The sequence below is a fragment of the Homo sapiens genome, chromosome 14 (genome assembly GCF_000001405.40).
Source record: "Homo sapiens chromosome 14, GRCh38.p14 Primary Assembly".
In the NCBI taxonomy this organism is placed as follows: Eukaryota; Metazoa; Chordata; class Mammalia; order Primates; family Hominidae; genus Homo; species Homo sapiens.
In genome coordinates, this window is record NC_000014.9 from 58472951 (window position 1) to 58500842 (window position 27892).

At 37.0% G+C, this 27892-nt stretch overlaps 1 protein-coding gene across 34 annotated transcripts in view; it reads left to right on the forward strand.

The window, feature by feature from the left end:
* The window catches only part of KIAA0586, a 134691-nt gene that overhangs the window by 45551 nt on the left and 61248 nt on the right, over nt 1-27892 (forward strand). For 27 of the 34 annotated variants that reach the window (NM_001244189.2, NM_001244190.2, NM_001244192.2 and 24 more), the window contains 9 exons: nt 1657-1847; nt 4173-4291; nt 9563-9762; nt 14057-14216; nt 14937-15159; nt 15671-15924; nt 17214-17290; nt 19194-19325; nt 25833-26010. In NM_001244189.2, the coding sequence (NP_001231118.1) occupies nt 1657-1847; nt 4173-4291; nt 9563-9762; nt 14057-14216; nt 14937-15159; nt 15671-15924; nt 17214-17290; nt 19194-19325; nt 25833-26010 (1534 nt within the window). The remainder of the gene's footprint in view (nt 1-1656; nt 1848-4172; nt 4292-9562; nt 9763-14056; nt 14217-14936; nt 15160-15670; nt 15925-17213; nt 17291-19193; nt 19326-25832; nt 26011-27892) is intronic. The other 7 variants (XM_047432003.1, XM_047432006.1, XM_047432001.1 and 4 more) reach the window with 1 other exon arrangement.

Here is a 27892-nt window from a genome sequence, read left to right on the forward strand (position 1 = left end):
TTTCTCATGTGAGTGCCACATGAGAATTTTGAAGACAGGGACCTTATTTATTTTTATATTCCTAATGCCTAGCAAAGGTACTTGGTAATTGTTTATGCAATATACAAGCGAAAGAAATGGTTATAGAAGTAGCAGAGAATTTAGCATTCAAAGACAAGTGTTCCTGTATTAGCTCTGCCATTTATAAGCTGTGGACTTCATTTTTCAATGGAATAATATTACTGAGTTGTACTATTTAGAGAGACCCAAAGTGTTTTTGATTGAATTATTTATAGATAAAATGATGTGATATCTGTGATTTGCTTCAAAATGATATGTGAAGGGGAAAGTGGCTAGATGAGACAAGATTGACCATAAGTTGATAATTGTTAAAGCTGGGGAGCGGATAAATGCAATTCATGTTATTTATGTAACAGATACAGTACAAGGACACTATTTGTTTACTTTTAAACACATATGATTTTTTTGTAATAAAAACTTTAACAATTCCAGAAATAACTCTATTGGTTATGATGTGGTAATGCAAATAATTTGTAAGATGACTGACCTTATTGCATATTTAAATGTAAATTATAAGTTGTATAAGAGCAAAAAGTGATTTTGGAAGTGTATTAGTGTATTTTGCATTGTTATAAAGGAATTACTGGGTAATTTATAAAGAAAAGAGACTTAAGGCCAGGTACAGTGGCTCATGCCTGTAATCCCAGCACTTTGGGAGGCTGAGGCAGGTGGATTACCTGAGGTCAGGAGTTCAGGACCAGCCTGGCCAAGATGGTGAAACCCCATCTCTACCAAAAATACAAAAATTAGCTAGGCATAGTGGTGGGCGCCTGTAATGCCAGCATCTCGGGAGGCTGAGACAGGAGAATTGCTTGAACCCAGGAGGTGGAGGTTGCAGTGAGCTGAGATCGCACCATTGGACTCCAGCCTGGGTGACAAGAGTGAAACTCTGTCTTAAAGAAAAAAAAAAAGTAAAGAGATTTAATTGGCTCGTGGCTCTGCAGGCTGTACAAGAAGCATGGTGCCAGCAACTACTTCTGGTCAGGACCTCAGGAAGTTTTACTCAGATAGAAGGCTGTGAGGGTCCAGATGTGTCACAAAGCAAGGGAGGGAGCAAGAGAGAGAGGAGGATGTGCCAGTCTCCTTTAAACAATCAGCTCTCATATGAACTAACTTATTACCATGGGGAGGGCACCAAGCCATTCATGAGGGATCTGCCCCCAAGACCCAAGCACCGCCCACCAGGCCCCATCTCCAACACTGGGGATCACACTTCAACATGAGATTTGGAGGGGACAAATATCCAAACCATATCAGGAAGCATCAATTTTTTAACGATAATTATTAAGCATACATTTCTAGAGAGAAATAATAGTGTTTTATGTAGGAATAATTATGTTTTCTAGTTTATTTTGTGATTGCATAAAATGAATATTGGGTTCTAAAAAGACAAACTGATTGTGTAATTAAGGGTTCCTCAATATGATATGTCTGACTAATGTGTATATTATAATTAATGTGATACCACCTAATTAGAAATGCTGTTGGTTAATTTAGAAGGGTTTCTTAATTCACCTAGTTCCTTGCCTATAGTTGGTACTCAGTAAATGTTGAACAAATACATGAATATAATAGTTTTGTTTTTGTTACTACCAGGAAGAAGAAAAATGTGATGAAATTCCAGACTCTGAACCAATTCTGGAGTTTAACAGAAGTGTTAAAGCTGATTCTACAAAATATAATGGTCCTCCATTTCCGCCAGTTGCTTCTACTTTTCAGCCCACTGCTGATATTCTGGATAAAGTAATTGAGAGAAAAGAAACACTGGAAAATAGCTTAATTCAATGGTAAGTTTATAATGTTTTTGGTATGAATAGAACCATAGTAGAAAATATAAATGGAAAGTATTAAAATGTGGCTGAAAATATTCCTTGTCTTCTTTTGTTTATTAAACTTTCTTTGCTTTAGTCACTGGAAAGTGTTTGATATAATGCTGAGGGCTTAACTATTGTTGGAGGTTATTGTTTTTGTCCTTGAATATTTGTACTCAATCTGTCTACTCTGGCACAAGTAGACTATTAGGAAGCCTTAAAAATGTACATGTTCTTTAATCCAGTGATTCATTTCCAGAAACTTATCCTAAAGAAGTAATTATGGTTTGCTGCTAGGCCAGGGCCACGAACCAGTACCAGTCTGTGGCCTGTTAGGAACCAGGGAACTAAGCTGCACAGCAGGAGGTGAGCAGCGGGTGAGTGAGCATTACTGCCTGAGCTCCACCTCCTGTCAGATCAGCTGTGGCATTAGATTTCATAGAAGCACAAACCCTATTGTAAACTGTGCATGTGAGGGATCTAGGTTGCACGCTCCCTATGAGAATCTAATGCTTGATGATCTGAGGTGAAACAGTTTCCTCCCGAATCTATCCCCCCACCCCCTACCCCACCACCCCTGCCCTGGTCTGTGGAAAAATTGTCTACCACAAAACCAATCCCTGATGCCAAAAAGGTTGGGACTGCTATACTAGGCCATATAATACCTAGCACTACAAAGAGGGCACTGTTCTAGGTTTGTTACATACTGATAACAACAAGCTGTAATATGTTATTATTGTTACATATTACAATAACAATTGTAACTTGTTACATATGAATATGAAATGAACGCTATTATTTGTATTTTTACTTGTAAGAAACCTTAAGGAAGTTATGGAATAAGTGAAATGGCTGAATATTAATATAGTCATGAAAATTAGGTTTAGAAGAAATTTAATGATATAAAAAGATATTAATAATGTACTGGCATATAAACAAAGCAGGATACTAACAATGTAACCCCAGTTTACAAGATCTTACTCAAAAGTAAGTAGGCAGCTAGCACAGTGGCTCATGCCTGTAATCCCAGCACTTTGAGAGGCCAAGGTGAGTGGATCACCTGAGGTCAGGAGTTCGAGACCAGCCTGACCAACATGATGAAACCCCGTCACTACTGAAAAAATACAAAAATTAGGTGCGATGGTGCACACCTGTGGTCCCTGCCACTCGGGAGACTGAGACAGGAGAATCGCTTGAACCTGGGAGGTGGATGTTGCAGTGAGCTGAGACTGTGCCACTGCACTCCAGACTGGGCGAAAGAGTGAGATTCTGTCTCAAAACAAAACAAAACAAAAAACTGTGCATAAAACAAAAGTTTGAAAAAGCATACATACCAAATTAACTGTGTTTATTGCTGAACCTAGGATTATAGGTGAGCTTTATCAATTTTTTAAACTCTTACATTTTTTTCTAAATTTTCTACAATGAACACCTATTATTTATATAATAATTTTTAAGAAGTCTATTAACTGCACTAAAGAAATGTTCTAGAAGTCTCCTGTTCCCCTTTCCCTTCCTGAAGATGACTTTGGAAATAAATTTTTTCTTTACATTTTAAGAGGAAAACTACCTATAATACAGCCTATATGTGTATTACCGTGAAGAAAGGGCAGCTGGACATCTTTTCTAGCTCTGATCTGATATGGTTTTTATGTGTGCACTCAGAGTGGAAATCAAACAGTTTAGGTACATGATATGCCAGATAGTCATTGGCCCAAGTCTTATTTTGAGTTTAGGAGTTCTTTTAAGCTTTTCATTAGACTAATCTGAAAGATTTTAATTTGATTTCATAAACTATCTCCCACAAGGAGATTCTGTTTAGTGTGTTTTATCTTCTTCAGAGGTACTTTTTTTTTTTTTTTTTGAGACAGGGTCTCACTCTATTGCCTAGGCTGTAGTGCAGTGGTGTGATCACAGCTCACTGCAGCCTCAACCTCGTGGGCTCAAGCCATCCTCCCACCTCAGCCTCTTGAGTAGCTGGGACTACAGGCACGTACCACCTAATTTTTGTATTTTTTGTAGAGACAGTGTTTTGCCCTGTTTGCCAGAATGGTCTTGAACTCCTGAGCTCAAGCAATCTGCCCAACGTGGCCTCCCAAAGTGTTGAGATTACAGATGCACCATGATGCCCAGCCCATTTTATTTTTTTTCTTCTAGATTTAACTTTCAGAATGACTGCTTTCACACCAACATGTTTGTGGCATTGGTAAAGGTTATTTTTAGGGGTGGTATGTCTAACATTTTTTACATTTCAATCAAATTGAGGAATCTTAACTTTTATCTGCCCCACCATCCTCTCAGGGTAGAGCAAGAAATAATGTCAAGAATTATCTCTGGGCTCTTTCCAGTCCAGCAACAGATTGCACCTAGTATCAGTGTTTCAGTCAGTGAGACAAGTGAACCACTGACTTCTGACATTGGTAAGTGAAATAGAATTTTTTTTTGTTTTTATTAAAAGACAAAAGCTTTAGTTCATCGTGGATTTATATATTCCAGAGGTCAAGTAAATTCTCCAGTAACAAAAGGTAAGCTCTTCTAACCTTACTTCTTAGTACTTCTTTGGTGATGGTTAGTTCTCTCTCACCCTCTTATTTCATATTGCAGCTTTCAGATTATTAAACCACTCTTCATACCTCCCACCCCAAATCTCTTTGTTATCCCCATAGTACTTTGTACATATTTTTGTTATAGTAATTATCAGATTATATTAAGGTTGGTTTCCATATGTACCTCACTCTTTATACTATAAATTACTCAGGATTTAAGGATGTTTCTCCTTTTGTGCCTAGTCCTTGCCTGATACCCAACAAGAGTTTAAGTATTCATTGAATGGTTAAAATGAGCCTCTTTCTTTATGGAGCCTATGCCATTCTTTTCTCCATTTTTTTCTTTTCTTCCTTTCTTTATGGTGCCTATGCCCTTCTCTTCTCCATTTTTTTCTTTTCTTCCTCTTCTTTTTCTCCTTCCCCCTTTTCCTTTTCTTCTCCTGCTTCTCTTCCCGATTTTTTCTTTTCTTCCTCTTCTTTTTCTCTTTTCCCCTTTCGCTCTTCTCCCCATTCTCTTCCCCATTTTTTCCTTCTCTTCCTCTTCCTCCTGTTTTTCTTCCTTTCCACCTCCTCCTTGTTTTTTTGAGGTAAGTTTACTTGCCATAAAAGTCACCACTTCTAAGTGTACAGTTTGACAAGTTTTTTGTTTGTTTGTTTTAATTAGAGCCAGGGTCTCCCTCTGTCATCTAGGCTAGAGGCTGGACTGCAGCGACATGATCATAACTCACTGTAACCTCTAACTCCCGGGCTCAAGCAACTCTCCTGCCTTAGCCTCCCAAGTAGTTAGGACCATAGGTGTGCACCACCATGCCCAGCTAAAAATCATTTTGGGTCCAGGCACACAGTGGCTCACGCCTGTAATCGCAGCACTTTGGGAGGCCAAGGAGGGCAGATCACCTGAGGTGAGGAGTTTGAGATCGTCCTGGCCAACATAGTGAAACCCCGTCTCTATGAAAAATATAAAAATTAGCTGGGTATGGTGACACACACTTGTAATTGCAGCTACTCCGGAGGCTGAGACAGGAGAATTGCTTGAACCCAGGAGGCGGAGGTTGCAGTGAGCCAAGGTCACGTCACTGCACTCCAGCCTGGGCAATAGAGCGAGACTCTGTTTCAATCAGTCAATCAATCAGTCAATCAATTTGGTAGAGATGGGGTCTTGCTATATTGCCCAGGCTAATCTCAAACTCCTGGCCTCAAGTGATCCTCCTCCCTCAGCCTCCCAAAGCACTGGGATTACAGGAGTGAGTCACCGCACCTGGCCCAGTTTCACAAGTTCACACAGCTATATATTAGCCACATAATCATGAGATAGAAAAACATTTCTGTCTTCTCCAAAAGCTTCCTTATGCCATTTTGCAGTCAATTCCTAAACCTCACTCGTGCCCACTGGCCCCTAACAACACTGATCTGCTTTCTATTACTGTATTTTTACCTTTTCTAGAATTTCATACATATGTAATCATGCAATATGTAGCCCGTTGTTAGCTGGCTTCTTTTATTAGCATAATATTTTGACAATCATGCTATTGCATGTAGTAATAGTATAATGTATAGATATACCATAATTTGTCAATCCATTTACCAGTTGATGGACATTCATAGTCTTTCAGTTTTTGGCTATTATGAATAAAGCTGCTATGAACATTTGTAAGCAAATCTTTGTGTAGAAACCTTTTAATTTTGGTTGGTCATATGATAAGTAAATGTTTAACTTTATAAGAAACTGCTAAACATTTCCAAAAGTGGGTGTACTATTTTGCATTCCACCCAGCAGTGTATGTGACTTTAGTTGCTCCACATCCTCCCCAACACTTGGTGTTGTCAGTGTTTATAATTCTAGCCATTTCTGAACATATGTGGAGGTATTTCCCTAACTATACTAATACCTGAGTAGTATAATTATTAATGATGTACAACTTTTTAATGTGTTTATTTGCCATCTGTATATTTACTTTGGTGAAATCTCTTTAAATCATTTGACCATTTTTAAGTTCGAGTCGTGTCTTCATATTACTGAGTATGAAGTTTTTTATCTATTCTGGATACAAGTCCTTTATTGGATATATGTTTTGTAAATATTTTCTTCTACTTTGTGTTTTGCCTTTTTGTTTTCTCAGCATTATTTTTTGAAGACAAAAAGATTGATTTTGAAGAAGTCTAATTTATCAGGTTTTTTCTAGTAGTTTGTAGGGATTTTTGCATGCTGCTTTTAAAAAAATCTTTGCTAACCCAAGATCATTAAGATAGTTTCCTATGTTTTCTTCTAGAAGATGTATGGTTTTAGATTACACATTTAGGCCTATAGTATATTTTGAGTTAAGTTTTATGGTGTGAAGTAAGGATCAAGTTCTTTTTTGTTTGGGGTTTTTTGGCATATGGATATCCAGCTGTTCTAATACCATTTGTTGAAAAGATTATCATTATTCCATTGAACTACCTTAACACCTTGGTTGAAAATCAATTGGTTATATATGTGTGCATCTTGTTTTTGGACTTTGTATCCTGTCTCATTCACCTGTAAGTTATACTAATACCATACTTCTTGATTACTGTAATTTAATAGTAACACTTGAAATTGGATAGTGAAAGTTTTTCTAACTTTGTTCTTTTTTTCTTTTTTATTCCTGTTTATCATTATCTCTACTTTTTTTCTTCTTTCCAGCCTCAGGATAAGCTATTCTTTCTCCCTCATAGACTATCCTTTAACAGCCCGAATCCTAGACTTCAGAGTCTATATTCACCACTTTAATTTCTCATTACCTACTTCCTCTTTGGTCCTTATAGGTTGGCCTTCTTTTGCCCTCCCCCTCAAGAAACTCCTTTCTCACAGCATTTGCTTGTCAAAAATGTTTCCCTTTTTCAAATCCTTGTTTTACTGTATGGCTCAAGCATAGGCACTATTGACCATCTCTGATGCTTAAACTCTTCTCCTGGTGTTGGCTGCTTAGACTTCATTCTGTTAATTCTTCCTCTTTTAAAAAAAAAAAAAAAAAACTTCTTTAAGACCTTCATTTTCTCATTTTATTTTCTGCTACTTGAATAAAATTATTTCCCTAGTTCCCATGCTTTGCCCTCTTTTCTGTTTTCTTCCAGTTTCCTCCTGACATTAGTTATCCTGTGTCAGTTGATGAACCCTAAGCCATGTATTTGGGCCGACAACTTGCAGTTCTGCTGGTTGATGAATATTGTGCTTGATGCTCCCCTGGCATCTCATCTTTAGTATGTCTAAAATTCTTCTCATTTTTGAGATCACAGTTCTCCCAGCACCCAATCTCTAAAGCCTTGGAGTTATTATTTGTTCTATTTTCTTTGCTTTGCTCTTCTTCATTCCCCACTCAGCCATACCCTATATCCCAGCTTCATAGAGTTTATTGTTGCATTTGGCTAATTTGTCCTATTTAGCATAGCTCACATGCCTCCTTCTGTTGTTACTATCCCAGTTTTCTCTCGTCATCTCATCTTTGAAGGGAGGACAAAAATAAACAACAAATTTATGAGAAAATTTTTTTCCTGGTGAAAATCTGACATTTTACAAATTGGGTATTTAGATCCTGTTTTCTTCCCTGTCAAAGATTTGTGTTTGCTTTTGTTTTGCCAGTGTCTGGGTAGGGATTTGGGACCTTATAAAAACGATGTTCTGATTTTGGGCCATGCTCAAAGAATGAATTATGGAAACTAAAAAGGAGATGTATCAACATATATTGTTGAATATGAATTTGGGATTGGGATAGTCTCTGCTATGGTAACTCAAGAGCAAATTGCTGTTACTTACCCCGTCAACAAGTGATCCCACTAGACGTCTACCCACTTTTTAGGGAATTCTGGATATTGTTACTATAGTTGTGTTACTTAAGCAGTACTCTTTGGTGAGGTCACATCTCCATCAGGTTGTACAAATGAGTATCCACTTATTTTCCGCATGGAGCTTTATAAATATCACTACTTTAAGTCAAGTAAAGTCTCTCCAGGAGATTTTACTTAATTTGATGTACATTCATGTAAGTGAGAAGTACAACCCATTCAGATATTAATATACCTATAGGACATCTGATAACAAGCACCTCAACTGCAGTAGATGTTAATAACTGATGTATCTGAAACTAGAAGGAAGGGAGGTTTGCCTTTATATTTAGTGCATTCTTTTGTTGTAGTCAAGATCTATCACAGAGTTTCCTGTTGTTATACTCTTGGAAATGTGAGTTGTATTCAGATGAGGGCATTTAATGTGCCCATTTTTATCACTAAATTCTGTAGTAGTAGAGAAGAGGCCATCTGAGTAAATTTTCATCTCCCTTTTTTTTATTTACAGAGAATATTTGTTATGTAAGTTGTCCTCTTAGTCTTTTTCATAATAAGTAGATACATTTGTATTTTCATTTTTATTCCTCTTTCCACCCTCCCCCACCCACCCCCATACACGTATATTGGCATCTCTAAACTTTGTTTTGTTTTGTTTTGTTTTTGACAGAGTCTCACTCTGTTGCCCAGGCTGGAGTGCAGTGGTGCGATCTCAGCTCACTGCAAGCTCCACCTCCTGGGTTCACGCCATCCTCCTGCCTCAGCCTCCCGAGTAGCTGGGACTACAGGCGCCTGCCACCACACCTGGCTAATTTTTATATTTTTAGTAGAGACGGGGTTTCACCATGTTAGCCAGGATGGTCTCAATCTCCTGACCTCATGATCCACCAGCCTTGGCCTCCCAAAGTGCTGGGATTACAGGCGTGAGCCACCGTGCCCGGCCGGCATCTCTGAACTTTTAAGAATGAAAGTTCGGCCCAGGCGCAGTGGCTGTCGCCCGTAATACCAGCACTTTGGGAGGCTGAGGCAGGTGTATCACCTGATGTCAGGAGTTCAAGACCAGCCTGGCCAACATGGTGAAACCCCATCTCTACTAAAAATACAAAAATTAGCCAGGCATGGTGACGCGTGCCTGTAGTCCCAGCTATTCAGGAGGCTAAGGCAGGAGAATCGCTTGAATCTGGGAGGTGGCAGTTGCAGTGAGCCAAGATCACATCATTGCACTCCAGCCTGGGTGACAGAGTGACACTACGTCTCGAGAAAAATAATAATAATAATAATGAAAGTTTGAATTGCAAGCATGTTTCTTGCCCACTTATTCTGATTTTTTTTTTTTACTTTTAGTGGAAGGAACAAGCAGTGGCGCCCTCCAGCTTTTTGTTGATGCTGGTGTTCCTGTGAACTCAAATGTGATTAAACATTTTGTTAACGAAGCTCTTGCTGAGACCATTGCTGTCATGCTGGGTGACAGAGAAGCAAAGAAGCAAGGTCCTGTTGCTACAGGTGTTTCTGGGGATGCTTCAACAAATGAAACATATTTGCCGGTATGGGGAATTTTTGAGACATTTATTGAAGAATAGTAAAATAGATGAATTTTAAGCTGCATACCATAAGATCATTGTTTGTGGTAGAAGTATTATTATCATTTTTAGAGACATGGTCTTTATTTATTGCCCTGGCTGGTCTTGAAGTTCTGGGCTTAAGTGATCCTCCTGCCTCAGCCTCCTGAGTAGCTGGGATTACAGGCACCAGCCACCATGCCCAGCTTGTGGTAGAATTTTATTCCTTGTTGCTATGATTAAAGTAACGTTTCCCCCAGCATTTTATTTTAAAAACTTAAATCTATAGAATAGTTGAAAGTGTGATAAAATGAACATCTGTACACCCTTTACCTATACAGTTGTCCATTGGTGTACGTGGAGAATTGGCCAATCCTTGCATACTCGACTCTCACAGTTGGCCCTGTAAAACCAAAGAATATGAAAAGTCAGCCCTCTATATATATATGGATTTCTTATCTCATGAATACTGTTCTTGATCCACATTTGGTTGAAAAAACCAAATTTGTATGATTGGCCTCTTGCAGTTCAAACCTATGTTTTTATTTAGTTATTTATTCAAGGGTCATTCATATTTATTGATTGATAATATTTTGGCACATTTATAAAAATCTGTCTTTATATCTGCTATATATTATATATCCTTTAAAAACCATTTGAAAGTTACAGACATCTTTACCTCAGAAGCATCAGCAGTATCTCCACAGAACAAGTTGCTTTCTTACATAACCAGAATACCATTATCACACCCCCCCAGATTTAACATTGGCGTGTTAATAATATAGAATATAGAGACCATATTTAGATTTCCTTAATTGTTTCAAAAGCATCCTTTACAGTTTTTTTTTAAATCAAGATATAGCCAAGGATCATACATTGCTTTGCGTTATTATATGAACTGATATTTTTAATCTTTAAAAGAAAATACATTTCAGGAACTTTTATTGCTTGTTTAATCAACCTTACTTGTGTTAAAAAGAATTTATAATCTATTATAGCAATATGAAATTATACAAAGCCAAAATTTACTCTGTATTACCAGCTGTTTAAAACTATAGTTACTTCTGATCCTATAGATCACAAGGACATCATTTTATATACATGAAACATTTAAACATCATTTGATGTATAAAGTTATATACTGTATTTTATTTTTGTAGAGATTGTTGTGGTATAATGTGATTAGTGTGCCAAAGATTTGATCTGTAGTTTTGATCTGTGCTTTATTAGCTCATTGGGAATATATGCAGTACAGATGTGGTCAGGGTTATGGTTTTTTCTATGCCAATTACTTTGGTTTGCTTTCTGCCTATATATATTGTATATATTTTCATGAGGGTGATTGGATGAGAAAATGTGGGAAAACCAGTGTAAAGAGCTTGGATTTTGGGGTTGGTAAAAGTTGAATTTGAATTCCAAGCTCCACTACTTTAGTTTTATGTCTATAATAAAGATAGAATACTTAGTTTAAATGACCATGGCTTTGCTGAAATCTGCTTCCTAAATATGTAGTAGGGCAAGCACTACTCGCAGCCTGCAACTTATCATTCTTTATCTTCAGAAGTGTCATGGCTTTTCTTGGCCTTTTAATCTCTCACATATATTTTAAAGTTAGTTCTTAAGTTCCATAAAAAATATTGTTGAGATTTCAGTGGGAATTAAACCAATTTTGACTGGTTTCATTTAAGAAGGATTGACATCTTTATGGTACTGTGTTCTCTTTGCCAAAGTTTTGTGGAAGATTAAGTGAGATGATATATGGACAGAGCTTAATCTAGTGCCTAGAACTTGGTAAATAAACACTCAGTTACTAATAGTTTATCATTTTTATTATCCATTACCAATACTAGAAGAATACCTTCAGATCCTTTCATCATGATGAGTTATATATATAAAATATAGTGTTATATTTGAAAATAACACTTATATGCTATATGTTTATGCAGTCAAGAAGAAAAAAAGACATAGTGTACTTCTTTCATTTTAAAATGAAGACTAAGAGTACATTAATTATTAAGCAATGCTATAGAAATTCTAATATGCTTCATGGTTTTAAATTGCATCTTAATTTGCAACCCATAATACAGAATAAAGGGTAATCACCTTATATAAAGACTTTAGAATGAAGAAAAAGTCAAATTTTATATATATTATATATATATTTATATATATATATATATATATATATATATATATATTTTTTTTTTTTTTTTTTTTTTTTTTTGAGATGGAGTTTTGCTCATGTCGCCCAGGCTGGAGTGCAGTGGCGTGATCTTGGCTCACTGCAACAGGTTCAAATGATTCTCCTGCCTCAGCCTCCTAAGTAGCTGGGATTACAGGCGCCCGCCACCACACCCAGCTAATTTTTGCATTTTTAGTAGAAACGGGGTTTCACCATGTTGGCCAGGCTGGTCTCGAACTCCTGACCTCGTGATCTGCCCATCTCAGCCTCCCAAAGTGCTGGAATTACAGGCATGAGCCACCGCACCTGGCCCAAATAATATATTTTTAAAATGGTCAGAGGACAGACAGTTCATATACATAGAAGAAATACAGATCACCCATGTACATATAAAAAGATGAAGATGATCAACCTCATAGATAATAAGAAAAAAAGTTATTGAAATTGCATTTTTACTGATCAGATCGGCAAAACTCTAAAAGTTTGATAAATCTGGGGGAAATTGTCATTTTCCTACCTTCTGGTGGTAGTATAATATAGTAAAATCTTGTAGTAGGAAATCTGGCAATATCTATTCAAATTAAAAACATAATTAGTCCTTTAATAGAGCAGTCCCACTTCTGGGAACTTATTCCATAGATATATCCATATATCATACATATGAAATGACTGAAGTCAAGATTATTTGATAACTCTGAGGAAGGGCTCTAGGTAGAAAGGACAAGAGTAGGAGAGAGACTTAATTTTCACTATCCTTTTGTACCTTTTGAATTTTGAACCATTTGAATGATTACCTATTCAACAAATTAATATTAAATTGTTACATTTTTCCTTCTCCAGTACTTTCCATCTCCCTGCTGTCTTCATCTTTCCCTAACTCCCAATTCTTCTTATCCTTCCATTACTTTTTATATACTCAGTTTGTGTGTGTGTGCAAAAAGGCTGATTTTTTGGTATGTTGTCAATCACTTAAAATGCTTCCTTTCTGTTCTATGCCTTTCCTTCATGTCTGTAACTGGGTTTGATCATCAGCTTTATCTATTTAATCTTTCAGTCTTCTTTATTTTTAAAATTTCAGCTTTTATTTAGGTATAGGGGGTACATGTGTGGGATTGTTATATGGATATACTGGACCCAGGTAGTAAGTGTAGTACCCAAAAGTAGTTTTTCAACTCATTCCCCTTTCTTCCCTCCTGCCCCCTGCCATCATAGTCCACAGTGTCTGTTTTTCTCATGTTTATGTCTATGTGTGCTCAATGTTTAGCTCTCACTTATAAATGAGAACATGTGGTATTTGTTTTTTTCTTCCTCTGTTTGTTTGTTCAGAATTATGGCCTCCAGCTCCATCCATGTTGCTGCAAACGACATGATTTTTGTTCTTTTTTATGGCTGTGTAGTATTCCATGGTTTATGTGTACCACATTTTCTTTATTCAGTCCACCATTGATGGGCACCTAGGTTGACTCCATGTCTTTGCTGTTGTGAATAGTGTGGCAATGAACATATGAGTGCATGTGTCTTTTTGGTATAATGATCCTTAGGGTATATACCCAGTAATGGTCTCAAAAGAAGACATACAAGCAGTCAACAAACATGAAAAAATGCTCATCATCACTAATCATCAGAAAAATGCAAATTAAAACCACAGTGAGATACCATTTCAGTCAGAATGGCTATTATTAAAAAGTAAAAAAAAGATTGCCATAAATATATACACTTGCTATGTACCCACAAAAATTAAAAATAAAAATTTTAAAAACAAACAACTACAAAATACAAACCCACAGATGCTAGTGAGGCTGCAGAGTAAACAGAACACTTATACACTGTTGGTAGGAACGTAAATTACTTCTTCTCTATTTTAAAAGAGGGTGCCTTAGAATTCTGTGGGGACCACTTCAGAGGCAGAGTTATTTCAATTGCCTGAGACTTGCTGCAGGCCAATCGTAGACTAACAGGTAGAGGTTCAAGAGGTAGGGTACTTAACCCTGCCATCAATTTAAATTATATATAGTCTATGAATGAGTTCATATTATTTTCAAATTACTTTTATTTGGGTGATTATAAACACAGTTTATCTTGTTTTATTTATTTTAGGCAAGAGTGTGCACCCCACTGCCTACCCCACAGCCTACGCCTCCTTGCTCACCTTCATCACCTGCTAAGGAGTGTGTTTTGGTAAAGACTCCAGATTCTTCTCCCTGTGATTCGGATCATGATATGGCTTTTCCTGTGAAAGAAATATGTGCTGAAAAAGGTAGAAACTTTATTTCTATAACTCGGTTTTAATTTTAGCAACTATTAAATTTCATGATTTGTATATGTACTTGTTGCTTACTAGGTTTTAGTAAATCATTTTTTCTCACAAGGAAATTTAGGAATTGATTGCGACTTCTTAAAAGTCTATAATTGAGGCCAGGCAGGCATGGTGGCTCACGCCTGTAATCCCAGCACTTTGGGAGGCTGAGGCGGGTGAATCACGAGGTCAGGAGTTTGAGACCAGCCTGACCAACATGGTGAAACCCCTCTCTACTAAAAGTACAAAAATTAGCCAGGTGTGTTGGCACGTGCCTGTAATCCCAGCTACTCAGGAGGCTGAGGTAGAAGAATTGCTTGAACCCGGGAGGCAGAGGTTGCAGTGAGCCGAGATCGCACCATTGCACTCCACCCTGGGCAAGGGAGTGAGACTCCGTCTCACAAAAAAAAAAAAAGTATACAATTGAATAGATGCTTAGACTACTTTAAGTATATGGTGGTATTAACAATGATGTCTTCTCAAGGTATTTTTTAACGCTTCACTAAATTTAGGAATTATCACATTAATGGCTACCACCATTGTCATTATTATTATTAATTATAATTGCCATTATTTGTGTGCTAAAATGGTAAGGGATATCTGAAGCAATGTATCATGCCATCCTATGGAGTTCTTTACTGACTACTATCTTTTTCTGTCCTTTTAAAAAAAAACCTTTAGGAGATGATATGCCTGCCATCATGCTTGTTAATACTCCAACAGTTACCCCTACTACTACACCTCCTCCAGCGGCGGCAGTTTTTACCCCAACTTTGTCAGATATTTCCATTGATAAATTGAAGGTATCAAGCCCAGAGCTTCCCAAGCCATGGGGTGATGGAGACCTGCCACTGGAAGAAGAGAACCCTAACTCACCTCAAGAAGAACTTCATCCAAGAGCTATGTAAATGAGAACATACTCACTAGTAACTGTACATTTCAACTTATGTTTGACTTATGTGATCCATTGAAAACATAGAAATATTATACAAAGCTTTATAAACCACAGACTACCTTATACTTTGAAAGAAAGAACTTTCATAAGTGTTGAGTTTTGAAAAATTATCAAATTATACCTTCACCTTTTTTCTTAAAAGGTTTGAAATAGCTAGAAATAAAGGTATCTATTATATTGTTAATAAAATAGAAAACAATTTCTCCCTATTGTGGATCATTATTTACTATGATCAGTTAACTTTTATATTATTTTATATCTCTCTGTATGGAAGAGCTTTCAAGATGGCCTATGATTAAAGCATGAAAACAACTTTTAAAAATCTTGTTAATTATAGTAGTGCAGATTTAAAAAAATATTTTGCTAAAGGAGACATAGTCTTCGAGTCTGTTTTTTATATCAAAATGAATACAGGCCTTCAGTGACCTAACAAGCTCCAAATATGTCTTTATTTTCTTAGTGTAATGTCTGTGGCTAAGGATGAAGAACCAGAGAGTATGGATTTCCCTGCTCAGCCTCCACCTCCAGAGCCAGTTCCCTTTATGCCATTTCCTGCCGGCACCAAGGCCCCTTCCCCCTCACAGATGCCAGGTTCTGATTCATCAACACTGGAGAGCACATTGAGTGTTACTGTCACTGAAACTGAAACTTTAGATAAACCCATCTCTGAAGGAGAGATTTTATTTAGCTGTGGTCAAAAATTGGCCCCCAAGAGTAAGTTAATTTGTATTAGTTGATTTTACTTGTTAGATTATGCTAATTCCCTAAGTAATACTTTTCTATTTAAAGTGTTTTTACTTAACTTTCAAGATTTAACATGGTATAGTAGAAAGAATAGGGGACTCAATGCAATTTAGTTAACTTTTCTGGGTCTTAACTTCAGAAAGTAAAATCTTCCTCATAATCCCACCCTCCAGAAATAATATCACTATTAATGGTTTGGGGTAGGCCTTTCCAGTCTTTTTTGTCTATGCATATATAGACACATAAATACATACGTATGTGGATGTATGTTTACCTTTAAAAATAGGATCTTACTATGCATATTGTTTTGAAACCTGAATTTTTTTTTTTTTTTTGAGACAGGTTCTCACTGTCATGCAAGCTAGAGTGAGGTGGCATGATCATGGTTCACTGCAGCCTCAACTTCCTGGGCTCAAGTGATACTCCCACCTCAGCCTTCTGAGTAACTGGGACTACAGGCATGTGCCACCACGCCCGGCTAACTTTTATATTTTTTGTAGAGATGAAGTTTCACCATTTTGCCCAGGTTGGTCTCAGACTTCTGAGCTCAAGTGATCCACCCGTCTTGGCCTCCCAAAGGGCTGGGATTATAGGCCTGAACCACCTCACCCAGCCTGAAACCTGAATTTTTTTTTTTACCAAATAATATATTGTGGATATCTTTTAATATAACTCCATATTTTTCTTATTTTTCTTTTCTGGCTGTGTAGTCTGTTTAATCCCTTAATAGAGGGCATTTAGATTGTTTTCAATGCTTTCAGTCTATACACAACTCTCTAATTACCATCCTTTCATGTATATATGTCTTTGTGCACTTATCTGGTCTCTTCCTTAGAATACATGCCTAAAAGCGAAATTGCTGAGTCTACTTTAAAGATGCATCACCAACATGCTTTCTAGAAAGGATTTTTTTTTTCTTTGCTCTAAGTTCTAGAAAGGATTTTTAGCTCTTAATCAGTTTTAATTATATCAACAGTATATGAGAATACCCGTTTCTCAATTTCATAACTACAATTGATATTTATAGTTTTTAATTTCTAACAAACTGGTAGGTTAAACAAAATTCTCATCTTTGTTATAAATTGTACTTCAAAAAAACTGGTAAGATTGAGTAGTTTGTGAATTACTTGTTTATAAACTTTGCCAGTATTTCCATTGCAGTATAATTTTGAATCTAATATGCTATGGCTTTATGGTCAGATTATTTACTAAGTTTGTGTTTCTTTTTTTTTTCTAAACTTTTATATTTTAATTTCTAGTTTTAGAAGATATAGGACTGTACCTGACAAACCTTAATGATAGCTTATCCAGCACTCTGCATGATGCCGTTGAAATGGTAAGTAACGATTGACTCCAACACTGAATTCTGACAGGAAGAATATCTGTATGAATTGGTTGCCACTGATCAGGTTTTTTCTCAATTTTTTGAGTTATAGACACAAAATTTAGTAAAATAACCATGAAATAATTTAGAGTTTCTTGCACATTTCATTATGTAATCTTATAATTATGAGAATGAAAAAAAGTTATTATTAACCCTCGTGGCTCTAGTAGTAAAAAAATATACATTTAATGTAATTAGGTAATGAAATCTAGCTGATTGCAAATTGTTACCTCTGTATGTTGTCTTTACAATATTTAAGCAGGATCTTACCTGTTTAAACCAACTCTCTTGTAATACATTTGTTATTTTTCCCTAACCATGATTATAATTCTTTGTGCTAATAAATATTTAAACTTAATGGCTTAAAAAGAAAAATGAGGTCCAGGGATGTTAACCCTTTCTAGTTTTTATCTAGCTCTGTAGAAGCAAAAGTTGGTATTTAAAAATATCACATTATATATAAATATATAGAAGTGATAGTAAGAATTTTCTTTTGAAAAAACCGTTAAGGAATAGAAATCTTTACTTTTTATATATTTTTAAACAACCTAAGCAAGGAAAGGTAATTGTACTCAACTATCATCTATGTTTATTCACATCTTTTTAAAGCATTGTTGCTGTTTTTTTAAGTTATTTCACATAGGCCTATGAAAATACTTCATTAAGAAGTTTTTTGATAAGATTTTAATGAAACAATTTTTAAACAGTAATTATTTATTGCAAGTAATTGGTTGAGCTAATTGTGAAGAGAGCATAGCAATCACTTTTATGAAATAATATGGGAAGAAGGCATAAATGAGATATCTTTATTTTCAGAGAAGCATTACTAACATTCGGCCTATTAGTGTACAATTATAGCATTTTTCTCCTCTCTTTGAACTTTTTCAAGTGGCAAAGCATGTTTAAATTTATTTAAAGTAAATAGCTAAACCAAACCAAGACTAAATTATAACTTGTTTCTCTTTTTCTACATTTGAAACTAAATTCTAATGTTGATATTTTTACTATGCCTAAATCACATATGCTACAAATTCATAATAAAGTCAAATACAATAGTACAATCTGGAAAAACCCCAAATAACTTGAAATCATGTACCAGTGGGCATTTTATCTATACATAGCTAGGGGATAGGGACTTATAATCTGGAGTTAATAAACTTTATTTCATGAAAAATAAATACAAATACTTTCAATGAATTTAAAGTCATGTTAATATCTGTATTTACAAGATAATCTACTTTGTTGGACTCTGAGGCCCACACTGTTCCTCATTGTTGGGATGGGCCTATTTTGAGGCATGAGGAAGCCTATACAGGGTGCTCCAGTGAGGGTCTTCAATACCAATGCCCTCGCCAAGTAAGCCAGATGTCAGCCCAAAGGCAAAGGGACATTGAGGTCTATAGCTGCCATACCATACTTCTGCAGTTTTTCATTTTTGCTTGTGGTCCAAGTTGCAGCATTACAGTGCTTTGCCCCCATTGCCACACTGTGGCATTACTTTACTGCAGAAATATGAGGAGGAGGCTGTGACCCAAAAACAATGATATCATATAAAACATTTATGATTCATAGTAGCTCAACTGTGTGGGACAGACTGTTTGATTTTTATGTTTTTATAATCTCCAGTTTATGTTGTACCAAATTATACTGTGGTTTATATTTGAGGCAAAGATAGAGGGCTTTTATTATAGACAAATGGAAATGAGAACTAGATGAAAATAAAGAGTTCATCTCCTTTCCAAAAATGCTAATATCATCATCTCATGACTGATAAGTTTTTATTAATCTTAAATTGAGAAAAATGCAATTGTTCGAAATAATTTATTTTTATTAATTGTCTTTATGTTTCTTTTAGGAGGATGATCCTCCTAGTGAAGGGCAAGTGATTAGGATGTCCCATAAAAAATTTCATGCAGATGCAATTCTTTCTTTTGCTAAACAAAACCAGGAGTCAGCAGTTTCCCAGCAAGCAGTCTATCATTCAGAGGTACTTTTTAACTTTAATGACTTTTTTTTGGTTAGATCTAAATACAGGAAAAAATTAAAATATTCTTACTACTAGTTAAAGCATGCTAGTATTTTGGTTTTTTCAAGGGTCAGTGTTACAGCAACTTTAACTTGGAATCATGGAACTGTAGAGTTTTATAACAGAAAGGAATTTAGACCATCTGTTCCAACCACCTTGTTCTACTGCTAAAAAAGCTGAAGCTTTGTGAGGATTCATTATGCAATTATTTATTAAGTATCCATTATATGCCAGACACAACCTTGGAAAAGATACAAAGATAAGTAAGACATGACCCCTACCTTTAAGCAGCTTACAGTCATGTAGGAAGATAAGGGCTTACACAAGTAATTATTCAACAGTGCAATAACTAATCAAATAGCTGTATTTACAAGTACTATATGAACACACAGGAGAAAAGACTCTGCCTGAAGTTAGATGACACTTCATACACAATATTACATTGATGTCAGTCTTTAAAGATGGAGTAGGACTTTGCAGGCAGCAACGAAAGGGAAGGACATTTCAGAAGCAGAAATACCATTTGTTAAGGGATGACAGCCAAGAAATATTAAAGCATATTTGGAAAGTATTGAAAATCTCTGTGTGGCTAGAACTTTAGATGAAGAATCAGATACATCTGGAGAAGGAGATTGAACCAGATGATCATAAAGAACATTTTATTTAGGCCATGGTAAGGCTTGGGCACTGTGGAGCCCATGAAGGTTTTTGGACAAGGGAGTTGCCTTAGGAAGGAGTATGAAGCCATAAACAAATGAGGGAGACATGGGGGATCTGTCAGAACACCACTGGAGTAGTCCCAGCAAGAGAGAATGAGAACAAAGACAGTTACAGCAGAAATAGAGAGGAGAGAGATTTAAATTTAAGGGCATAGGATTGACAGTAATTGGTCATTGGTTGAGAGAGGTAAAGAAGCTTTTTTTTAAGGATAATCTTGAGGTTCCTACCTTAGGAGCTTGGATGGGTGATTATAGAGTTGTTGGCTTAGAAGTGCAGACAGAAGAGTGCCAGATTTTGTGGGGAAACTAATGAGTTTGATATACACATTATATTTAAGGTGCTTAAGGAAATTCCAGGTAGAAATATACAACATTGTCATTCAGACTGGTTAATGATGGAGCTGGGACTAGGATTCTTGATCTATAGTGCTGTTTCTATCATATCTGGTTGTCTTCGCATGAACAAATGTCAACTGGCTTTAGATGAGCTGGAGATCTGAAGACTATATAGGGCCCAAGGAGATGGTTGGTTTTATTTTCTGTTTTTATTTTTAAAACTTTAAATGATTAGGAAAGGTAGGAGAAGATATAAAATTTAGTAATGGGAAAAAATGAAGGCTTAACATATTCCTTCTGAATTTAAAATAATTAAATTTTCTGCAACTTTAGTTAGCAATAGATCATTTCACTGGAAAAATCTTAGTTGTGATATCTGTGTTGCTAAATTCAAAAACATACTCTCATAGCTGCAGAAATTAAGATGATTAGTATCGAAACCATTAAGCTGAGAGAGAGAAAGGAGGGAGAGGAGAGAGAGAAAGCGCATGTGCGGGTGGAAAGGAGAGAGAAAGAGGGAGAGGGAAGAAGGGAGAGAGAATGAGACAAGCAAATGGTACAAAAAGAGGTGGCAAATAGCAGAAGTGTCTGCATAAATTTATAAATTCCACTGACTAATCCTAGTTTTCTTTCTTTTTGGAAATCACTAATATCAGTGTATTTATTCGTGCAATTGTATCAGACGTTTTTATCTTTTAGATGCTGGGAAATTTATCTTCATTCTTTCTTTCTCTTTTTTTTTTCTTCCTTTCATTTTTCCCCCCTCTCTCTAGAACTCTTATTTCCAGATATTGACACTTCTACTTCTGTTTTTCTTATCCCTTAAATTTTCTGTCTTTCTTTTCTTCTCCATTCTGGGAGAACTCCCCAATCTGATCTGCTAACTATTAATTTGTTCTCTGCTATACTGTTTATCCCGTTTATTGTGTTTTTCATACTTGACATTCTTGTTTTTTGTTGTTTTTTTTTTTGCTTTGCATTTTAATATCTTTTCTTATCGCCTACTCTGTGTCTGTCTGTCTGATTAATATCATTCACTTTGTTGTCTGTTTTTTTTTTCTTTTTTAAACTTATTGACTCCTCAGGTATCTGGTTCTTTTGACCTGTGAGTTCTTATTTCACTGATGGGATCAACTATTCTGTCTGAGAATTTGGGTAAGGATAAAACCATGGTCTGTTTCAGAGAGTTAAAGAAGAGGGGAGGAGAGAGCCCTAGGGAGGAGAGCCTTAGGCAGCACAGAACCACCCTTGGTCACTGTCCCTGCTGTTTGCTGTTACTCCACTATATGGCTCTCCTGGTGATTATTGTGTCTTTAAGCCCTTAGGAAGACGTTGCTTTGGGAGGGTTTGTAATCCACTAGTCCTGGGGCTTGGAGGGGAAGAAGGTGAAGGAATGATGCCCACGGATGGGCTTCTGGACAGATTTCATCTATAGTTGTCACCATAGCTAGGCCTTCATGTTCCCTGATATTACTCTGGGGCGCCAGCATTTGCAGCTGGGGTTGTTAATAAGAAGACTTTTATGGTTGAGGGGCAAGCAGTAATCTCAAATTAATGGAGGAAGAAACAATGACTTTTCTCCATTCATTCCTCTCACAAAGCCCCTCCACACAGCCTCCTCGCTAGGATGCAGCCCCTTTCTTTCCACGCGTTCCAGTTTGAGTTAACTGTCTGTCTTTCCAGGGGCTTTTCACAACTTTTACTTTAGTTCTCAGAATCTATGGGTTCTTTTTCACCTCTGTAGTTACTCCAGTGTTGATTTTGAGAGCTGGCAGCCTTTGTTACTGTGCTGTCCTGGCTAGACCAGCAATGCAGAAGTTAGAATTCTATCTTCTCCAGATCTTTTTCTAAGCATTAAGCATTTATATATGTATAAAAATATATTTGTGTATATGTATATGTGTGTATGTGTGTGTGTGTGTGTATATATATATATGTGTGTGAATCTTTTTGAGACAGAGTTTCAGTCTGTTGTTCAGGCTGGAGTGCAGTGGCTCAGTCAGCTCACTGCAGCCTCGAACTCTTGGACTCAAGCAATCCTCCCATCTCAGCCCCCAGAGTAGCTGGGACTATAGGCGTGTACCATACCTAGCTAATTTTTTATTTTTTGCAGAGACGGGGTCTCACTATGTTGGCTAGGCTGATCTCCAACTTCTGACCGCAAGTGATCCTCCTGCCTCAGCCTTCCAAAGTCCTGGGATTATAGGCATGAGCCACCATTTCTGGCTTAGTATATAATTTTGAGGTGTGTGTATATATTGTTGTGCAATTTTAAATTTTAAAAAGCAGGTTGCAAGGCTTTTTAAAATTTAACATAAATCCTGAAGATCTACTATATTCTTTTTACCTACTATGTAGTATACCATAGTTTAATTATTCTCCTATTGAAGGATTTTTAGATTGGTTCCAAGTATTCTCTAATCAAACTATACTAGGTATAAAATCCTTTTTTTGTACTCATGAGAAATTATTTTTCTAGATTTAGATACTAAGGCATGGAATTGCTGGCTCAAAGATATAAGCATTCATAATTTAAATAGGCACTGAAAAATTGCCCCTAGCTGTATGAGATCCCTTTCCCATGTCACACATAATGCTTTTAATCTTAAATTTTTGCCAGTCTGATTAACAGTGACATTTTGCATATTTTCTTGTCTAAAGGGCTATGTAATAAGAACTAGTAATATTGATACATTATAAGTTAAAATATTGCTTTGCTAAGTTGTGGCTTTTCTTTGTGCTTGAAACTTCTTGCTTAGAGGGGCATTTGGTCAGTGAAAGCTCACTGATGGCAAAACTGTAATTTGTACATATATGTAGATGGGCTAGGTATATTACTCTGCATTATAGGCAACCTGACTTAAATTGGCATGAACTTAAGCATTGAGTATAATCCAAAACTCAGAGATACTTATGAGTATGAGACCATTTTGTAAATAGGCAAGATAAGTCTTCAGTAGGGTCATAGAGTATTCTTAAGGTGTTAAATAGTTCAGCAGTTGCAAATATCCTAGAAAACAGATTCACAACAGAGAAGTTACTGTAGACTGTCAGAGTAATATAGGCATTGTGAAATATTTCTCATTAATTTCTGGGGAAAACATAATTGCCATCATTCTAAACACTGCCCAAGAGTCTCCAAGGGATTTCATATTAATTATGAACAGTATTTTTTAATTTAAAGGATGTTGAGGCAATCAGTATTCCTAAAGAAGAGTCAGGCTAAGGGAATAAGGAGAGATAGAGATGTACATAGGAGAATGAAGGCAAATTGAAGAGAATCTTGAATGTTGAGCTAAGAAGTTTAGATTTTATTTTATAGTCAATGGAATCATCAAAGGTGTTTCAGCAGTGATTTCTTCATATAGTCTAGTTAAAAAAAACACTTGTTGGTTGAAATTAAACCCCTTTTAAATGAGAAACATGGGAGCTTTCAGATAATTGGAATTTTGCTTCAGTTCTTAATTAGTAAATTCATTAATTAGAATATCTCAAGTCATAAAATGTACTAGTGATTAGGATATATAATTTTTTAATACAGAAAGAAAATAGGAGTCTTATATTTTTTCATTTGTTCATTTATTTCATAGATTTCATTTAAAACAATTTTTTTTTTTTTTTTGAGACGGAGTTTCGCTTTTGTTGCCCAGGCAGGAATGCAGTGGCGGGATCTCGGCTCACCACAACCTCCACCTCCTGGGTTCAAGTGATTCTTCTGCTTCAGCCTCTCGAGTAGCTGGGGTTACAGGCATGCACTACCATGCCCGCTAATTTTGTATTTTTAGTAGAGATGGGTTTTTGCCATGTTGATCAGGATTGTCTGGAACTCCTGACTTCAGGTGATCCACCCACCTCGGCCTCCCAAAGTGCTGAGATTACAGGCGTGACCCACCATGCCCAGCCAACGATTTTTGTGCTTTTTGTATTTTTTATTTTTCCCAAGGAAAATAACATTATTAAATATGACTAAAGTATTCTTCTATAATCTGTATACTTTTTTTTTTTTTTGAGACAGAGTATCACTCTGTCGCCCAGGCTGGAGTTCAGTGGCTCAGTCTCGGCTCACTGCAGCCTCTGCCTCCTGGTTTCAAGTGATTTTCCTGCCTCAGCCTCCCAGGTAGCTGGGACTACAGGCACCCGCCACCACGCCTGGCTAATTTTTGTACTTTTTTTTTAGTAGAGACGGGGTTTCACCATATTGGCCAGGCTGGTCTCAAACTCCTGACCTTGCGATCTGCCCGCCTTGACCTCCCAAAGTGCTGGGTGGTGTGAGCCACCACGCCAGGCCTCTATACTTTTATAAAAATCTTATTATTGATATATGGGGTAACCTTTATGCTGTTTAAAGTATATTATTCTCCTCATCAATTGTTTATTGTAAAGTTTACACTAACAAACTTTAGGCAATTTTTATTCATGAAGAATGAGAGAAATTTTCTGTTATTCCCATTTTAAGCTGTATGAACAATGTGTAATGCATACCAGCATTTAGTGGTTTTGATTTTTTTTTTTTTTTTTTTTTTTTTGAGACAGAGTCTCGCTCTGTCACCCAGGCTGGAGTGCAGTGGTGCAATCTCAGCTCACTGCAAGCTCCACCTCCCGGGTTCACACCATTCTCCTGCCTCAGCCTCCCGAGTAGCTGGGACTACAGGTGCCTGCCACCATGCCCAGCTAATTTTTTGTATTTTTAGTACAGACGGGGTTTCACCATGTTGGCCTGGATGGTCTTGATCTCCTGACCTTGTGATCCGCCGCCTCGGCCTCCCAAAGTGCTGGTATTACAGGCATGAGCCACCGTGCCCAGCTGATTTTTTGTGTTTTTTTTGACACAGGGTCTCACTGTATCACCCATGCTGGAGTACAGTCGTGCAGTCTCGCTCACTGCAGCCTCTGCCTCCTGGGTTCAAGCTAGCCTCCTGCCTCAGCCCCTTAAGTAAATGGGACTACAGGTGTGTGCTGTGATGCCCAGCTAATTTTTGTATTTTTTGTCGAGACAGGGTTTCGCCATGTTGCCTAGGCTGGTCTTGAACTCCTGAGTTCAAGTGATCCACCTGCCTCGGCCTCCTAAAGTGCTAGGATTATAGGCATGAGCCACCGTGCTGGCCCCATTGAGTGTTTTAAATTGTAATATAATTTTTCTTATGTATTTTATTGCTATTTAATTGGTGCTTGAAAAACTGGTTAATTTCATAAAATATATGAAATTATTATATTGAAAACAAAGCCTATCACGAGGCTTATTAGACTAACTTCTTGAACTTTTCTTGCATGTAATGTATATGTGGCATAGAAGGCAGTTTGTAAAATACCTTCCAAGGAGTCAAAGGGTATTGTTCATGATATTTGGCAAAGATTTCCTGTTTTGACTTGATTTTAATATAATGGTTTTAACAATTGTTTCTGCTTTTTAAAGGACTTGGAAAACAGTGTGGGTGAACTTAGTGAAGGACAAAGACCCCAGCTAACAGCGGCAGCAGAGAACATCTTAATGGGACATTCTCTCTATATGCAGCCACCTGTCACTAATACACAGTCTTTGGATCAACAATGTGATCCTAAACCATTATCTCGGCAATTTGACACAGTTTCAGGTAGACACCAAAATATTTTTTCTTGATGTGTCATAGTAGTATCCCTAATCTGAGTTGAGGAAAGTATACCTATTTTCAGATAGGGGCTTGCAAAATTTCTTTATTAAAAGGGATTTTAATAATTGGAAAGTTTGGTGATAACTTTTTTTATAGTATATATAGCAGTGTTTCCCCAAATGTGATTCATATATCAGTGTTGGTACATGAACCTTTGGGTGGTATGTGAATTAATTTTGGTAATACACATACATACACTTAAAACTTTTTAACTGTGATACTTTTATTTTATTTCATTCTATTTATTTATTTAGAGACGGAGTCTTGCTCTGTCACTCAGGCTGGAGTGCAGTGACACAATCTCGGCCCACTGCAAGCTCTGCCTCCCGAGTTCACCCCATTCTCCTGCCTCAGCCTCCCGAGCAGCTGGGACTACAGGAGCCCACCACCACGCCTGGCTAATTTTTTGTATTTTTAGTAGAGATGGGGTTTCACCATGTTAGTCAGGATGGTCTCGATCTCCTGACCTCGTGATCCGCCCTCCATGGCCTCCCAAAGTGCTGGAATTACAGGTGTGAGCCACCGCGCCTAGCCTATTTTATTTTATTTTATTTTTTTGGAGACGGAGTCTTGCTTTGTCGCCCAGGGTGGAATGCAATGGCACAATCTCGGCTCACTGCAACCCCTGCCTCCTGGGTTCAAGCTATTCTCCTGCCTCAGCCTCCCGAGTAGCTGGGATTACAGGCGCCTGCCACCATGCCCAGCTAATTTTTGTATTTTTATTAGAGACAGGGTTTCACTATGTTGGCCAGGCTGGTCTCGAACTCCTGACCTCAGGTGATCTGCCCACCTTGGCCTCCCAAAGTGCTGGGATTACAGGCATGAGCCACCATGCCCAGCCGATGCATTTATTGTAATATGTACTAGAAAAATATAACGAATCCATGAAAATTGACATAACAGATCTTTAGGACAAGGTTAAATTAGATAATACTGTAGACATTTATTCTTTATGCTATATGAATTTCAGTAGCACTCTGCATTCAGGACTATTTTAGAATTTAAATAAACTTTCTGTTGTGACACACTGGAAATAAGGATAGAATAGAGAATACCAATCACTAGCATATATAGTTGACTCTCATCTATGGACCATTGTTATATTCTGTGGTCACCACAAACATATTAACAAGTATTGAACCATTACTCCTAGGGGAAATACAGGATTAGGTTTCTGTGAGCCTCTGGTCATAACATTTTTATCAACTGATCAATACATAATCTGGTTTTATTTATGTTTCTGTTTAAAGAAGTCTTATTTAATATATATTTTGGATTCATTAATATTGAACTCACAGCCATTGAACTATCCAGCAGTATAACTTGTGCCTGAAGGAAGCCTATCTAACATGTATATTTTCTCCATAAGACACAGCGGAGCCTTTTTGTGCTTAGAAACACTAGACAGGCCAGATGCAGTGGCTCACGCCTGTAATCCAGCACTTTGGGAGGCCAAGGTGGCAGATCACCTGAGGTCAGGAGTTTAAGACCAGCCTGGCCAACATGGTGAAACCTCATCTCTACTAAAAATGCAAAAATTAGCCGGGCATAGTGGCAGATGCCTGTAATCTCAGCTACTTGGGAAGCTGAGGCAGAAGAATTGCTTGAACCCGGGAGGCTCAGAGGGCAGAGGGCAGAGGTTGCAGTGAGCCGAAATCACGCCACTGCACTCCAGCCTGGGCAGCAAGAGCGAGTCTCTGCCTCAAAAAAAAAAAAAAGAAAAGAAACACTAGACAGTACTTCAGCACTAAGGGGCCATTTTAAACAGTGAAATCACCAAAAAAAAGGGGATGAAATCTGAAAAACAGCTTTACGTATACTGTGA